The sequence below is a fragment of the Homo sapiens genome, chromosome 22, assembly GCF_000001405.40.
Source record: "Homo sapiens chromosome 22, GRCh38.p14 Primary Assembly".
Lineage (NCBI taxonomy): Eukaryota > Metazoa > Chordata > Mammalia > Primates > Hominidae > Homo > Homo sapiens.
Genome location: NC_000022.11, coordinates 36,466,644 through 36,483,133, shown reverse-complemented (window position 1 = coordinate 36,483,133; position 16,490 = coordinate 36,466,644). Strand labels below are relative to the sequence as shown.

Here is a 16,490-nt window from a genome sequence, read left to right as displayed (position 1 = left end):
GGCACGCCTGTAGTCCCAGCTACTGGGGAGGCAGAGGGAGAAGAATCCCTTGAACCCAGGAGGCAGAGGTTGCAGTGAGCCGAGATCGCGCCACTGCACTCCAGCCTGGGCAACAAGAGCGAGACTCTGTCTCAAAAAAAAAAAAAAAAAAAAAAAAAACTTTGATCAACAATTTGGAAACTGCCTGTTCTTTTAAAAACGCTCTTTCAGCTGCTGCTAATCCGAGTGTATATTCAGGACAACTTGAATCTCTGCTCCGAGTTGCAGTCTTCGAACTTGACCCAAAAAAACTCCCTGCTTAAATTAGGCTCGCCTCAGTTTTCATTTGTTTTCCTTTAGGCGGACACAGACGAGGGCCACTTAAAGGATGGCCCCTAAACTCCCGGTTGAGTTCTTTTACATATAAAGGGCATCATGCCTTTGAGGAGCTTAGCTTTACATATTAAATGGAGAAACAGAACCTGTCAACATCTGTAGGAAGTGGACAGCGCCAGTTATAAACAGGAGGCCAGGCAAGGTGGCTCACGCCTGTAATCCCAGCACTTTGGGAGGCTGAAGCGGGCGGATCACTTGAGCTCAGGAGTTCCAGACCAGCCTGGCCAACATGGCGAAACTCCGTCTCTACTAAAAATACAAAAATCAGCCCGGCGTGGTGGCGCGCGCCTGTAATCCCAGCTACCTGGGAGGCTGAGGCAGGAAAATCACTTGAACCCGGGATTTGGATGTTGCAGTGAGCGGAGATCACGCCACTGCACTGTAGCCTGGGAGACAGAGCGAGACTCTGTCATTAATAAATAAATATATGTAAATAAAATAAAGCAACAAGAGTTTGCAAAATCCAAAACCACGGGGACTTCTCAACTGCCTTTTCTCCCTTAAGTACCCTCCATTGCTACCCCTGCTCCATCACCTCCTCTTCCGGTCCCTCCTCTAGGGCCCGCCCACCCCTTCCGTTTCCGCCCCGCCCCGCCCCCGCCTTCGCCCAGACCAGGGCCCGCCCGCCTCTTCCAATCCGTTCCCCGACGGCCTGCCCATTGCTTCCGGTCCGTAGCTGAGGCCCCGCCCCTTCAACTGTGCCTCAGCCCGCCATTCCCATTGGCGGAAAATCCCAGACGCCCCTCAAATTGGAGAGGGACAGATGGGCGCTGTGGCTCACGCCCGTAATCACAACCCTCTGAGAAGCCGAGGCGGGCGGATCACGAGGTCAAAAGATCGAGACCGTCCTGGCCAACGTGGTGAAACCCCGTCTCTACTAAAAATAAAAAAATTAGCTGGGCGTGGTGGCGCGCGCCTCTAGTCGGGAGGCTGAGGCAGGAGAATCGCTTGAACCCGGAAGGCGGAGGTTGCAGTGAGCCGAGATCGCGCCACTGCACCCCAGCCTGGCAACAGAGCGAGACTCTGGCTCAAAAAAAAAAAAAAAAAAAAAAAAAATTGGAGAGGGACGCTCTTCCGCCTGCCTGTACCCGGAAGTGACGTTATGTACGTCCCCCCCCGAGGAAGTGACGACAGGCGTGCCCTTGACAGGCAGGGAGGGCTAGGCTGTGCATCCCTCCGCTCGCATTGCAGGGAGGTAGGAGCCCTGTGGGGGTGGCTCGAGGTGGTGTCGCGGCTGAGGCATGCCGCGAGCGCGTTCCTGCGCAGGCTGGCGGCCGGGCGGGCGGGGGGATCTAGCTCGCCGGAGAGCCAGGGTCCCTGGTGATGTCCGATTTTTCCCAGTTCCCTCCACACATGTCCCTTCTTTATTGGTTCCCTCCAGTACATGTCTCTTCGTTTTTGGTTCCTCTCACACTCTTAGTTCCTCCTTGAATTGTTGCGTTTCATCTTTTCAGACGACCCTGGGTTCCAGTGTTGGCTGTCATTTAATAGCGGGGTTACTTTGGGCATGTCACTTAACTTACTTGAGCCTCGTATTCCTTCCCTTACTCGCAGTGTGGGCAGTACAATAGCAACTTCCTGGAAGTTGCTGTAGGAAGACCAATAATGTGTGTAAGGTACTTGGTCCTTACATACATTATTAAATCTGTTGGTTTCTTCCTCCCATTCTTCCGTTATAATCTAAATCCCGATTTCTTTTTGGTTGTGAAGCCAGTTTTCCTGTCCTTCTGGTTTGCCTAGCTGTTCCTTCCCTTTGATTCTCATTGCTTCCTCACTTCCACGCTACAAATCTTACATATGATTTCCTTGCATTTTGCTTCCAACTCTGCCTCTTCCTGAGCCCTGAGTACTCCCCAAATCTTTTTCTAGTGTGTCGACTTCCTTTTGTGTGCCCCAGTTCTTCTGCCTCTTTCCCTCACAGATGGCTCAGCGACTTCTTCTGAGGAGGTTCCTGGCCTCTGTCATCTCCAGGAAGCCCTCTCAGGGTCAGTGGCCACCCCTCACTTCCAGAGCCCTGCAGACCCCACAATGCAGTCCTGGTGGCCTGACTGTAACACCCAACCCAGCCCGGACAATATACACCACGAGGATCTCCTTGACAACCTTTAATATCCAGGATGGACCTGACTTTCAAGACCGAGTGGTCAACAGTGAGACACCAGTGGTTGTGGATTTCCACGCACAGTGAGTATTGGGGGTCCACAGAAGACTAGGGTCCTACTTGTTCAAGTATTTATTGAATGCCTGCTGTGTCCCACGGCCATGTTCTATGCTGCTCATATGTAGACTCAATATACAGACTGGTCAGGCCCAGTCCCTGCCCTCAAGGGGAATGCAGTCTGGTGGAAGACAGACAAGTGAACAGTCTGCAAAGCTGACTGTTAGTGCTGGGAAACACATGTTCTGTTTCTCAATCCCCAGAAAGCTCAGCGTCATCTTTAGCATGGACCAGAGTTGGAAAAATATGACTGTCACCTTGCTTTTGGTGTATACCAGTTCCTGGCCCTGCAGATAAGCTGATGTTAACATCCTGCCATGAAAACCGCAAGAAGGGCTGGCAAAAAGTTATCAGTGTCGGCCGGGTGCGGTGGCTCATGCCTGTAATCCCAGCACTTTGGGAGGCCAAGGCGGGCAGATCACCTGAGGTCAGGAGTTCAAGACCAGCCTGGCCAACATGGTGATACCCTGTCTCTATTAAAAATACAAAATTAGCTAGGCGTGGTGGTGTGTGCCTGTAATCCCAGCTACTCGGGAGGCTGAGGCAGGAGAATCACTTGAACCTAAGAGGTAGTGTTTGTAGTGAGCTGAAGATCGCGCCATTACACTCCAGCCTGGGCAAAAAGAGTGAAATTCCATCTCAAAAAAAAAAAAAAAAAGTTATCGGTGTCACTACCGTGGTGCCCAAGCATACAGGGCATAGGAAGGAGTTTCCTTTCAGTGCTATCTGAGTTTGCTTTAGAGATATTTAAGTCCCTCTGGCCTTCTGAATTTTAGCCTGGGCTTTTTCATTTCTAGATCTTTGGGGCCTGGCTAGACACCCAACTACACAAAAGCTGGACAAAGCCCTCTGAATGAGGCATCCTGGGAGAAACCAGTGTAGCATAAGTTAAAAATTCAGGGGCCTTCAGGTCGGACGCAGTGGCTCACACCTGTAATCCCAGCACTTTCAGAGGCCGAGGCAGGTGGATTACCTGAGGTCAGGAGTTTGAGACCTGCCCAGCCAACATAGTGAAACCCCATCTCTACCAAAAATACAAAAATTAATCGGGCGTGGTGGCGGGCACCTGTAATCCCAGCTACCCAAGAGGCTGAGGCAGGAGAATCGCTTGAACCTGGGAGGTGGAGGTTGCAGTGAGCTGAGATCGCGCCATTGCACTCCAGCCTGGGTGACAGAGGGAAACTCCATCTCAAAAAAAAAAAAAAAGAAAAAGAAATTGAAGGGCCTTCTGGTCAGGTCTCTGACAGATTGTTTCGCTGGCTTTCCAGTTGTTTCTCTGACTCACCCTGTGGCCTTGGGCAGGCCACTTGATATCTTTGTGCTCCCTTTCTTCACTTGTAATAGGAGATAAGGTCTTGCACACTGGGTTTTTCAGTGTTATGAGTTGTTTTTGTTTTTCTTCTTTTAGAGACAAGGTCTCACTCTGTCACCCAGGCTAGAATGTAGAGTGCAGTGGTGCGATCACGGCTCACTGCAGTCTCTACCTCCTGATCTCAAGCAATCCTCCCACCTTGGCCTCCCAAAGTGCTAGGATTACAGGCATGAACCACTGCGCCAGGCCTGAGGGTTTTTTTTCCTTTTTTGTTTTTGAGACAGAGTCTCATTCTGTCACCCAGGCTGGACTGCAGTGGTTCAGTCAGCTCACTGCAACCTCCACCTCCCGAGTTAAAACAATTTTCCTGCCTCAGCCTCCCAAGTAGTTGGGACTACCACCCAGATAATTTTTTTGTATTTTTAGTAGAGACGGGGTTTCACCATATTGGCCAGGCTAGTCTCTCAAACTCCTGACCACAGGTGATTCTCTCCCGCCTTGGCCTCCCAGAGTGCTAGGATTACAGGTGTGAGCCATTATGCCCGGCCTATTTTTCAGCATTTAAAACCGTCAGGCCTGGCTGGGTGCGGTGTGCACCACCACACCTGCTACTCAGGAGGCTGAGGCAGGAGAATTGCTTGAACCCGGGAGGCGGAAGTTGCAGTGAGCCGAGATCGCGCCATTGCACTCCAGCCTGGGCAACAGAGTGAGACTCCATCTCAAAAATAAATAAGTAAGTGCTGAGAATAAAATAGGAGTTGTCAGCCAGGGGTTTGTGAAAGGTGGAACTGTCTTGGCCTCCTGGTGTAGTGAGCATTCCAGAGAGGCCTTCCGAAATGAACAATAAATGGGATAATGCCTCATTTTGTTCAGTAAGGAAGTGGGGTGGTGTGAGTTGTTCATTCAGTGCCAGGCACTTTCCTTGGTGCCACATACATAGAGATGACAGCACCAGGCCTGTCCTGGATGAGCTTCCCCAGCGAGAGGGGAATACCTATGATCAGGGCAGTGATAATGGTCAACTCAGGGGCTGTGGGATCAGAGTAGCCTGTGGGTGAAATAAAACACTTTCTCTTTTTTTTTTTTTTTTTTTTTTGAGACAGAGTCTCTGTCGCCCAGGCTGGAGTGCAGTGGCACAATCTCAGCTCACTTCAACCTCTGCCTCCCAGGTTAAAGTGATTCTCCTGCCTCAGCCTTCCTAGAAGCTGGGATTACAGGCGCACACCACCACTCCTGGCTAATCTTTGTATTTTTAGTAGAGACGAGGTTTTACCATGTTGGCCAGGCTGATCTTGAACTCCTGACCTCAGGTGATCCGCCTGCCTCGGCCTCCCAAAGTGCTGGAATTATAGGCGTGGGTCACCGCACCCGGCCAAAGAAAACACTTTCAACACAGCTTTGGGTTGTGATCGATCCCAGCTGTGCTTCTCTAATCTTGCACAGGTTTCTTAACTCGTATGGGCTTCAGTTTCTTTGGAAGGTGTGTTCTCTTTGCAGAGTTGAGGGGTGTGTTTGGTAAAAGCAGAGAAAGTGAGCCAGGGACTGGTGCGTTGTAGACGCTCCAGGCCATTGGTTCCCCTCCTTTTAGTTCTGAGTCCACATGGTGTTTGAAATATCCCCACAGCTTCCAATGCATGTTTACCCACATTGCCTTAGTTGATCTCTCCTAATAGCTTTGAGAGCCATAATCTCTCTTTTTCAGATGAAGAAACTAGGGCCCAGGCCGGGCGCGGTGGCTCATGCCTGTAATCCCAGCACTTTGGGAGGCCGAGACAGGCGGATCACGAGGTCAGGAGATCGAGACCATCCTGGCTAACACGGTGAAACCCCGTCTCTACTAAAAAATACAAAAAATTAGCTGGGCGTGTTGGCAGGCACCTGTAGTCCCAGCTACTGAGGAAGCTGAGGCAGGAGAATGGCGTAAACCAGGGAGGCGGAGCTTGCAGTGAGCCGAGATCGCGCCACTGCACTCCAGCCTGGGGGATAGAGCGAGACTCCGTCTCAAAAAAAGAAAAAAAGGAAACTAGGGCCCCAGAATAATCAGCTGGTTGGTGAGAAGCCTCTGTTTGAACCTTTTAACTTCCAATCCCATATCCTTTTATATGACAGTATATTTATCTGAGATATACTGAAATGAGTCACTTTTATTATGAGTCTTCTGATGAGGCCTGTGTTTTAAAAGTCTGGGATCTGTGAAGATTTCCCATGTGCAGAATCTCCTGGCATTACCATTTGGTGTGTTAATTTTTAAACATGGTAAACAGAGATAATAAGGGCAAAAGATTCCTTGGAAAGATGCAGGTCTGGGAAGCCAGTAGGGGATGCTGAGCGCTCTTTTGACTGACTGGATGCTTCCTTTCTCGCCTTTTGAGGTGGTGTGGACCCTGCAAGATCCTGGGGCCGAGGTTAGAGAAGATGGTGGCCAAGCAGCACGGGAAGGTGGTGATGGCCAAGGTGGATATTGATGACCACACAGACCTCGCCATTGAGTATGAGGTATGGATTGACAGGGAGTTGCCACAGGGAAGCCAGTATAGGAGGTGTCAGGCCCAGGGATAGCTGGTGTAGGAGGTATCTTGGGGAGCACAGGTAGCCAGTAAGCAAGGTGTCTTGGTTTTTCCAGAGCTTTTTTTTTTTGAGACGGAATCTCTCACTGTCACCTGGGCTAGAGTGCAATGGCATGATCTCGGCTCATTGCAACCTCTGCCTCCCGGGTTCACGCGATTCTCCTGCCTCAGCCTCCCAAGTAGCTGGGACTACAGGCGCACACCACCACGCCCAGCTAATTTTTTGTATTTTTAGTAGAGACAGGGTATCACCATGTTGGCCAGACTGGTCTGGAACTCCTGACCTTATGATCCACCCACCTTGGCCTCCCAAAGTGCTGGGATTACAGGCATGAGCCACTGCGCCCAGCCGGTTTTTCGAGAGCTTTTAAGAGCTCAGAGCACTTTGCAGAGGTGGCTCTTGATCCTCTGAGCCACCTGTCTCTCTTCACCACCTTTAGGAAGTAGATCGTATGACCCAAAAACACCAGGTCATTCACTTAGTCTCAGACATTGGTACATTCCTTTATCCATCTACCCACATGTTCAGTGAGCAGTCATTTGGGAGCTCGATGTGCCAAGCATTTGTGATTCTGACACAAGATGAGATCTTGTTTCCAAGCAAGATCTCTCCTAGTCTAGCAGGAGAGAACAGCAGGTAGAAAGATCATCTCAATATAGAAGTGCTAAAAGAAGAGGCGCATAAAGGAAGAAGGGACTGTTTGCTTGTGGGGGAGCTGGAGGGGACAGGGAATGCTTCACGTTAGAGAGAACCTCTGAGCTGAGCCATGAGGGATGCGCAGAGGAGGAGGAAGGGCTGAGGAAACAGCGTGCACAAAGACATGGAGTCGTCTCACTTGGTTGGTTGGTTTGTCTGTTTATTCAGCAGATATTTGAGAGTCCCTCAAGTGCCAGGTAGTGTTACTTGGTGTTGAGGATAAGGCAGTGAACAAAACTGACAAAATCTCTGCCTCCGTGGAGTCTACATTCTAGTATTTTAAATCAAGGGTCAGCAAACTTTTTCTCTAAAGGACTGGTTGGTATTGGAAGCATTGCAGGGCAGTGGTCGCTGCTACAACCATTCAGCTGGGCTCGTAGCCGAAAGCAGCCATAGACACTATACAAACAAATGGGCATGGCTGTGTTACAATAAAACTTTATTTACAAAAACAAGCAGTAGGCTGTATTGGGCCTGTGAACTATAGTTTGCTGACCCCTGTTTTAGATAATAAGTTCAATGGAGAAAAATACATCAGGAAGAGAGGATGGGAGTACTGCGTATGAGGCAGGGTTTTTGTTTTTTCGAGACAGAGTTTTGCTCTTGTTGCCCAAGCTGGAGTGCAGTGGCACAATCTCGGCTCACTGCAACCTCTGCCTCCCGGGTTCAAGCAGTTCTCCTGTCCCAGCCTCCGGAGTAGCTGAGATTACAGGCACGCGCCACCACGCCGGCTAATTTTTTGTATTTTTAGTAGAAATGAGGTTTCACCATGTTAGCCAGGCTGGTCTTGATCTCCTGACCTCGGGTGACCCACCTGCCTTGGCCTCCCAAAGTGCTGGGATTACAGGCGTAAGCCACCGCGCCCAGCGGGTTTCTTTTTTAAAGGGTGGGATAGGGTAGATCTCCCTGATAAGCTGACCTTTGGGCAAAAACAGGAAGGGAGTGACTGAAGCATGTGGGTCTTTGGAAGAACAATTCAGGCAAAGCAAAAGCCCTGAGGTCTGATGAGCCTGGGTTGCTTACAGACCAGCAGGGGCCAGGTGCCTGGAGGTGTCTGGGTTGGGGGCTTCCTCTGGGCCTTGGAGACCACTACCTGGAGAAAGGGGAGAGGCCCACTTTGTCTGGGTGGCCAGAGTGAAGGGCCGAGTACGGAGCTGGGGAAAGCATAATGCAGCCGGATTGGGAGGGTCTCTGAATAGCCATGCTGAAGGTAGCGCTGTTACAGAGCCGAGGGCGCTCCTGGCAGCCTCTGGGCCCAACCTGGCTCACAGACACTTTTAGTCTGGCACTCGAAGTATTTTAAAGTAATAGGAAGCAGATGCTGATATTTGAAACTCAGATTTCATGTGAAAATCTCGATATCTGATTTTCTTGAAATATCTTAACCTGGCCGGAGTGAGCCTTCACCCCTCCCTCCTTCCTCCTCCAGGTAACAAGTGAATGAAAGAGGCCGCTTTATTCCTCAGAGTATACAAGTCCAGGTTTCACTCTTACTAGACCAGCTCAAATAGAGGCACCCATCCCTGAACCAGTCTCCTGCAGCAAGAAATGGGTGGTTGGGAGCGGGGTGAGAACAGGCTGGCCGCCCCTTGAGCTACGCAGGGAGTGGGGAGTGATTACCCAAAGGAACATCAGTCTGCAATGACCAGAAGCAGGGGAGATGGAGACCAGGCAGACAAACACGGTGGCCACTACAGGTGACCACTGGAGCAGGCCTGCTTTGGGAGTTAGGAACTGAGGGCTGTTTACAGGGGCTGGGGGAGGGGTGAGTCACTTTTTCAAAAAGTTTGGCCACTGATTGCTCAGTGAGGGAGGCATCTATCTGCCCATTTGGATGCCCCTGGCTTTCCCCTGCCTGGCTATGCCTCGGGTGAGAGCCCGGGCTGGGGCTCCTAGGGCCTCCCACAGGTCACGCGTGGGCTTCAGATGTCTCAGGCCTCCTGGCTCTGCCAGACACTACAGCTTCAGCTTCAGCCAATGTATTCATAACTCTTCAGCAGACACCCCCTGAGGGCCAGCCATGTGCAGGGACTATGGTAACTACTGCAGATGCAAAGAAGCCCACAGGCCCTGCTCCAGTGTCTCGTGGGGTGGCGGGAATGCCGAGGACCGTCCCCGGGAGGCTGTTGTGGGAGTGGGCACTGAAGGCCTGCGGTGAAGCCTGGGAAGTGAGAAGGAGATGCCTCCTGTGGAATCCTCTCAATCTCCCCCCACACCCACCGCTCCCGCCCTGTCCACTGCCTGGGGACTGTGCTGTCACACAGAAAGGCCTCAAGGCTGCTAGGCCCACATCACTTGGTCTCAGCCGTGTTGTTTAGCCAAACCCTGGTCTGACATCATTGCAGGGTTTAGGAAGCTCCAGCCAGGGTTCTTCCTGACCCCCTCCCTCTCTCCCTCCCTTCCTTCTTTCCTTCCTTCCTCTTTTCTTTCTGAAGAGAGCCTGAGGAAGAAGTTTCCTCTGAGAGAACTACAGTGCCCCCCATGATGGCTTTCTTTAAGGCCTAAAATCCTTTTTCTTTTTTGAGATGGAGTCTCGCTCTGTCGCCCAGGCTGGAGTGCAATGGCACGATCTCGGTTCACTGCAACCTCCGCTTCTCAGGTTCAAGCGATTCTCCTGCCTCAGCCTCCCGAGTAGCTGGGATTACAGGTGCCCACGACCACGCCCAGCTAATTTTTGTAGTTTTAATAGAGACAAGGTTTTACCATGTTTGCCAGGCTGGTCTCAAACTCCTGACATCAGGTGATCAGCCCGCCTCGGCCTCCCAAAGTGCTAGGATTGCGGGCGTGAGCCACTACACCTGGCCTAATTTTTGTATTTTTAGTAGAGATGGGGTTTCACCATGTTGACCAGATTGGTCTCAAACTCCTCACCTCAAGTGATTCGCCCACCTCGGCCTCCCAGAGTGCTGGCATTACAGGCATGAGCCACCGCGCCCGGCCACCAAGACTGCATTTCTAACAAGCTCCCAGGTAATGCCAGGGCTGGGTGTCCTGAGCCGACATGGAGAGAAGCCAATGTTCTGAAGGCCCCATACTGACTTTTTCATTCTGAAGGCCCCAGATTGACTTTCTGGTTCTGAAGGCCCCGGACTGACTTTCTGTGGGGAGGAACTGCTCTTTGGAAGGCCGTGTCTCAGCTGCCGCTCTCAGCACAGACTGCTTGCCAGTGAGAAAGTTCATGGACAAATGTATAATGGCATGTGTCCACCATTCCAGCGCCATACAGAACCGTTCCACCGCCCTCGGTTCCCCTGTTTTCCAGCAGTTCACCTCTCCTTCCTGCCCCTCACCCCCTTAACCCCCCAGCAGTCACTGATCTCATTTTTTGTTGTTGTTCTTTTTGAGGATTTTATGTTTTTAGGGCAGTTTTAGGTTCGTGGCAAAATTGAGAGGAAGGGGAAGGTACAGAGACTTCCCATAAGTCCCCTGTCCTCCCGCATGCCCAGCCTCCCACACTATCAACAGCCCATACCAGGGTGGTCCATTTGTCACAACTTATGAACCTACACGGACATCATTATCCCCCAAAGCCAAAAGTTTACATAGGGGATCACTCTTGGTGTTGTGCCTGCTGTGGGTTTGGACAAATGTGTCATAGCCGGTGTCCACATTCTAGCATCATCCAGAGTCATTTCACTGCCTCCATGTCCTCTCTCCTCTGCCTGTTCATCTCTCCTTCCTCCTCCCTCCAGGCCTGGCGACTCTTGATCTTTTCACTGTCTACCTAATTCTGCCAGAATGTTATGTAGTTCATTTTTTCAATAATCGTTTTTCCAAGAACCCTCTCATATCTAAAAGCTTTTACAAAGCACTTGGCATTTTGCATTTGAAGCATGAAATCCTTTAATGCGTCCCCACGTTCTTCCCCCTGCTGGGACTCAGTAGATGTCTCTCTCTCTTTGCTGCTGGGCAGAAGCACAACAGAGTTTGATCCCCTGGACTGCAAAGTCAAACAGATCTTGTTTCAGATCCCAGCTTTTTTTTTTTTTTTTTTTTAGAGGGGGTCTCACTCTTTTCACCCAGGTGGAGTGAAGTGGCGCAATCTCGGCTCACTGCGACCTCCATCTCCCGCATTCAAGCACTTCTCCTGCCTCAGCCTCCCAAAGTGCTGGAATTACAGGCGTGAGCCACCACGCCCGGCCTAATTTTTGTATTTTTGGTAGAGACAAGGTTTCACCACATTGGCCGGCCTTGTCTCGAATTCCTGACCTCAGATGATTCACCTTCCTCAGCCTCCCAAAGTGCTGGGATTACAGGCAGGAGCTGCCGCGCCTGTCCTACACCACATCATTTTGGAACAGTTGCTCACCCTTTGAGCCTCAGTATTCTCATCGTTAAAATGATCCTGCCCACAGCCAGGAGAGTGTGAGATAGTGTATAGAGGTGTTTATATCATTCCTGACACGAAAAAGCACCCAGCATGTGACAGCGATCTTTTCCTTTTAACTCTGCAATGAGCCGAGGAGGAGGTTGCAACATCCCGCAGCACCCAGCACTGTGCCTTTCCCTTGGTAGGCCCTTAGCTGAGTTAACAGATGGATGCCATCGGGGTGGGACAGGAGAAGACATACCAGGACACGGAGCTCAGTGGCGGTGCAGGCGAGCTACGGGTTAGCAGAAAGAGACTGCGCACACGTACACACTCCCCCACTCCTGCCGAGTTCAGAGGGTCTTTATCCAAGGATAGGAGGTTCCAAGTGGCTTCACGGAACAGGACAGGCAACACGTCGTAGCGTATCTTTTCCTCAGCCCCTCAGTTGGCTCAGTCACTGCCTCTTTCACACTCAAAACATTCCAGAAGAATGTGCCAAGGCCCTGTGCACTTCCATGTAAGGCAGTGTTTACAGGCACCGGCACCTCCTGATGTGTGAGCCAGACACAGGAGCAGCAGAGCTTCAGCCGCCTCCTCAGGGTCGAGGGAAGTCCCATTCCAGCTCAGGTTTCCTGTGAGCCCCTAGTGCGGGTAGTGTGTATGTGTGTGTGTGTATATATGTGTGTATGCGTGTGTGTGTTTAAGCTCAACTTCAAAATATCCCCTTGATCAGTAGTGACCAGACCTCCATTGACAGCACATCTGCTGTCTACCTGACACCAGCAGGGTCTGTGCGTGTTCAAGCATGTGTGGAGGTTTACATGAGTGAGATCATTATGGCCTTCATCTGGAGTTCTTTTTTTTTTTTTTTAATATTTTTATGGAGACGACGTCTTGCTATGTTGCCCAGGCTGGTCATGAATTCCTGACCTCAAGCAGTCCTCCTGCCTTGGCCTCCCAAAGTACTTGGGATTACAGGTGTGAGCCACTGTGCTTGTGCCTATCTGGAGTTCTTAAGGAACGCTAAGTCCACTCTCTGAGCCTCTTCAGTGAACTTAGAGTCTTGCCGTGAAAAAAGTTAGGCCACTTCTTATACAGTGGCATAAAGCATATATTTTAATTAAAGGAATAGGACAGTGTGCAGGTGGGAGCCGGTGGCTGAGCTCTCTGCTTCTGCCAAGAGGCTCCGGCTTTGAGGCACTCCAGCTGCCTTTGCAGACCACTAGAGGGCACCAAAGAATGCCTGGGAAGGCCCTGGTGGCTTCAGGCGCTTCCTGGAGCAAACTCTTTCGGGCCCTGCTCTGCCTGGAGACAGGGTTTGCCACCCACATCAGCCCAGGGACAGCCTTTGAAGGGGCCTGAGGCACTAACAAGGACAAGGACTGTGTCCTGTGACCTGCTGTGTTTGTCCCCAAAGTGTCCGTGAGGAGTGGGGTGCAGGGCCTGCCACGTAAAGTTAGTGGGTGAGGGCGGGATGGTCTGGCCTGCGTGCCTTTCCTAACTACCATGTGCATGGTTTTTGAACATTCTGAATCTTACTGGCTTCCAAGATGGGCCGTGGCAGGGCAGCACTGGGATATGTGAAGACCTGGTATGTTTGTGTGAATCTCTGCTCTTACTTTGTAGTTTAATTTGTATGTAAGAAAAGTCTGTGTTTATCTTGTTCTGTTTATTTTTATTTATTTATTTTGAGGGGGGGAACAGAGTCTTGCTCTGTCGCCCAGGCTGGAATGCAATGGCACAATCTCAGCTCAGTGCAACCTCTGCCTCCCGGGTTCAAGCGATTCTCCTGCCTCAGCCTCCCGAGTAGCTGGGACTATAGGCATGCCCCACCACGCCCGGCTAATTTTTGTATTTTTAGTAGAGACGGGGTTTCACCATGTTGGTCAGGCTGGTCTCGAACTCCTGACCTCAAGTGATCTGCCCGCTTTGGCTTCCCAAAATGCTAGGATTACAGGCGTGAGCCACAGCGACCGGCCTATCTTGTTCTGTTTAAATGGTTTTCTCAAATGCCCACGAATGCCAGGCAGGGATCCCAGGCAGCAGAGACCTCACAATGCCAGTCTGGTGGGCCACAGCCTCATCCACGTTCCACATAACCTATGCAGGTCCCTGAGGGAACTGAGTAAATGCTTCACAGACCAAGAATGTTGTCCTTGCCATCTGCCTGCAACCTGCTAATAAGCGTCAGGTTGTGTATGGCCAAGCCTCTCCTCTCATGCTGTCCAGTAGAAGTCCCTGAGTTTCTGGACCCTGTCACTCATCACAGCAGCAAGCTAATGTGCTCTCGTGGGGCCTGTGTTGGACTTTTCCTTGTGCCCTCTGTAGCCACTGTTTTTTGAATGCCCACAGTATGCCAGGCACAATGCCAGGTTCCTAAGCTTATTTGCCGGGCGCTGTGCTGAGCCTTTACTTGCGTTATTTCATTCAGCTTTCATGCCCTCTAATGGCAGTGCCCTTAGTATCTCCATCCTGCATCTGAGAACACTGAGGCTTAGTGACTGAGGGGCGTGCCCCAGCTCACCTGGCTGGTAGGAGCCGGATTGCGTCCGCCAGAACCTGAGCTCTGCTTTATTTATGTATTTATTTATTTATTTATTTATTTATTTATGAGATGGAGTCTCACTCTGTCACCCAGGCTGGAGTGCAGTGGTGCAATCTCCACTGACTCCAGCCTCCACCTCCCAGGTTCAAGCAATTCTCTCACCTCAGCCTCCCAAGTAGGTGGGATTACAGGTGCCTGCCACCATGCCCGACTAATTTTTGTATTTTCAGTAGAGACAGGGTTTCACCATGTTGGCCAGGCTGGTCTCGAACTCCTGACCTCAAATGATCTGCCCACCTCAGCCTCCCAAAATGCTGGGATTACAGGTGTGAGCCACCGCGCCCAGCCTGAGCTCTGCTTTATACTCAAATCTTTCTCTTTTTTTTTGAGGCAGGGTCTCTGTCACCCAGGCTGGAGTGCAGTGGCACAATCACAGCTCACTGAAGCCTCAGTCTCCCAGGCTCAAGCGATCCTCCTGCCTCAGCCTCCCGAGTATGGGAGTACAGGCATGTACCACCATGCCTGGCTAATATTTTGGGGGGGTTTAGTAAACAAAGGGTCTCACTATATTGCCCAAGCTGGTCTGGAACTCTTGAACTCAAGCAATCCTCCAGCCTCAGTCTCCCAGAAGGCTGGGATTATAGATATAAGCCACTGTGCCCAGCCTATACTTGAATCTTTAATGTTCATCCCAAACCCTAAAGGTAGACATTACCCCCATTTTATGGAAAAGGACACTGAGGCTCAGAAAGGTGCTGTGACCCGGCCAAGGCCCCCTTGCTAGTGAGTGCAAAGCCAGGACTCGAACTGTCCCCCAGCTTCTGTCTCCTCCTGGGCCAGGCTTCCCCTGAGCTCCTCCCTGCCCCCAGCCCTGGCCTGCAGCTGCAAGGGTTATTTTCATCTCTCCTGTCATTCCAGCAAAACCACTGGGCCAGTGAGTCAGTCTTGTGGTTAAGGGAGGAAGGGTACTGTTGGGAGCCCGCAATGGAAGACGTTTCTTCAGCGGGTGGCCCCCGGGCCCTGCAGTACCCCTGCACCGAGAGAAGAGCCATGTTCCTCTAGGCCTGCCCATGGCTTTGGGAAGTCAGTGCCCTGGATAAGCCACCAGCCTTCCCCACAAAGGCTCAGGAGTGGCAGTTGAGAAGTATTCACTCCCAATTCACTTGGACCCCCTTGTCCTCTCCACCCAGGTGTCAGCGGTGCCCACTGTGCTGGCCATGAAGAATGGGGACGTGGTGGACAAGTTTGTGGGCATCAAGGATGAGGATCAGTTGGAGGCCTTCCTGAAGAAGCTGATTGGCTGACAAGCAGGGATGAGTCCTGGTTCCCTTGCCCGCGTGGGACCCCAATAGAACTCAGCCCTTCCATGCCAGCCCTTCCTGCTGCCTCCCTCCTGTCTGGCTCCTGGGGCCCATGCTTAGAGCCCAGGCTCCAGCCCTGAGTGCTTCCGAGCTGGCGGACTGCCCAGGGGCCATCAGAGGATGGTGGTGCTGCTGCTGATCCGGGGACCGCTGTCTTCCCTCCCATACGCCTTTCATCCCTCCTTCTAGGGCCTATGGCAGTTCTCCCAGGATGTGTGGCGAGAGCCTGGGCCAGCCCACAGCGTTCCTAGTCAGGCAGCCACACCTTGGTCCTCATCTTGGTCCCTTCCAATCTGAAACCTCGTGCCTGGCTCGTCTGCCACCTACATTTCTCTTTCCAGCTGCTGTTTTGTAAAAAGAAAAAGAAAAAAGAAGCCCAAACTAGTGAGAGTAATATCTAATTATCTCATTTTTTGTAGGTCTGTGATAAAGAACTTAGTCATCCCTTCCACCTCCTACTGTGAAGAACAGACCCTGGGTCCCACACTGAAATCCCCTCTAGTCACCCATTCCCACCCCCCAGGGAGCTGCCTCCCAGGCAGGGGGTGCAGAAAATGATTGATGGGCTGGGGAACCCTGGAGAGCCTCGACTCCGGAAGTCTCAAGGTGCCTCCTCCTCTCCTTAGCTGGCCCGTTGGTTTTCTGAGCAGGGGGCTGAACTGTGAACAAGTCAGACAAATAAAGCAAGGGTCTGCACCATCTGCAATGTCACATCTGTGTGGGCTCAGAGCACTTGTCACCCTTTCCCAGGGGGCTTGTCCACTGTCCCCACATCCTCCCCTAACTCCACAACACTCTCTCCAACCAGCCCTTCCTGTTCACTAACATGCTTGTCAGCAGTGGCTGCTATTCTAAGGATGCCATGTGCCAGTCCTCGTGCCCTCCTAAGGCAAGAGGCTGTTGTCCCCATTACCCCGATGTAGACACTGTGGCTCATGGGATGCAGAGCTGGGGTTTCTATCCAGACGTGGTTGCCTCTGAAACCTGGGCTCCCACAGCTGATCCCCTTGACCCTTCTGAGGCCTCCCCAACTGACAGGGCTCCTGGCTGCCCCAGCAGGTGCCTGGCCCTGTGGGGATCAGGCTATCCTTCCCATGGGTGCC

At 51.6% G+C, this 16,490-nt stretch overlaps 1 protein-coding gene across 2 annotated transcripts, besides 2 other annotated features; it reads left to right on the top strand.

Annotated features, from left to right (window-relative positions):
- Positions 118–1,064: an enhancer, noted in NCBI's record as "NANOG-H3K27ac-H3K4me1 hESC enhancer chr22:36878117-36879063 (GRCh37/hg19 assembly coordinates)". NCBI's record gives its function as "activates a minimal SCP1, AML or CMV promoter by ChIP-STARR-seq in primed H9 embryonic stem cells {active_cell/tissue: H9 hESC(primed)}" and the evidence as "EXISTENCE:reporter gene assay evidence [ECO:0000049][PMID:30033119]".
- TXN2 (thioredoxin 2) lies at positions 1,494–16,088 on the top strand. 2 transcript variants are annotated; one of them, NM_012473.4, is made up of 4 exons: positions 1,494–1,570; positions 2,297–2,559; positions 6,278–6,401; positions 15,217–16,088. In NM_012473.4, the coding sequence occupies exons 2-4, from the start codon at positions 2,297–2,299 to the stop codon at positions 15,328–15,330; spliced, it is 501 nt and encodes a 166-aa protein (NP_036605.2). In that variant the 5' UTR covers positions 1,494–1,570; the 3' UTR covers positions 15,331–16,088. The 2 variants fall into 2 exon arrangements, with proteins under 2 accessions (NP_036605.2, XP_006724289.1); XM_006724226.2 differs by having other exon boundaries at positions 1,494–1,991.
- Positions 12,395–13,231: an enhancer, noted in NCBI's record as "H3K27ac-H3K4me1 hESC enhancer chr22:36865950-36866786 (GRCh37/hg19 assembly coordinates)". NCBI's record gives its function as "activates a minimal SCP1, AML or CMV promoter by ChIP-STARR-seq in naive H9 embryonic stem cells {active_cell/tissue: H9 hESC(naive)}" and the evidence as "EXISTENCE:reporter gene assay evidence [ECO:0000049][PMID:30033119]".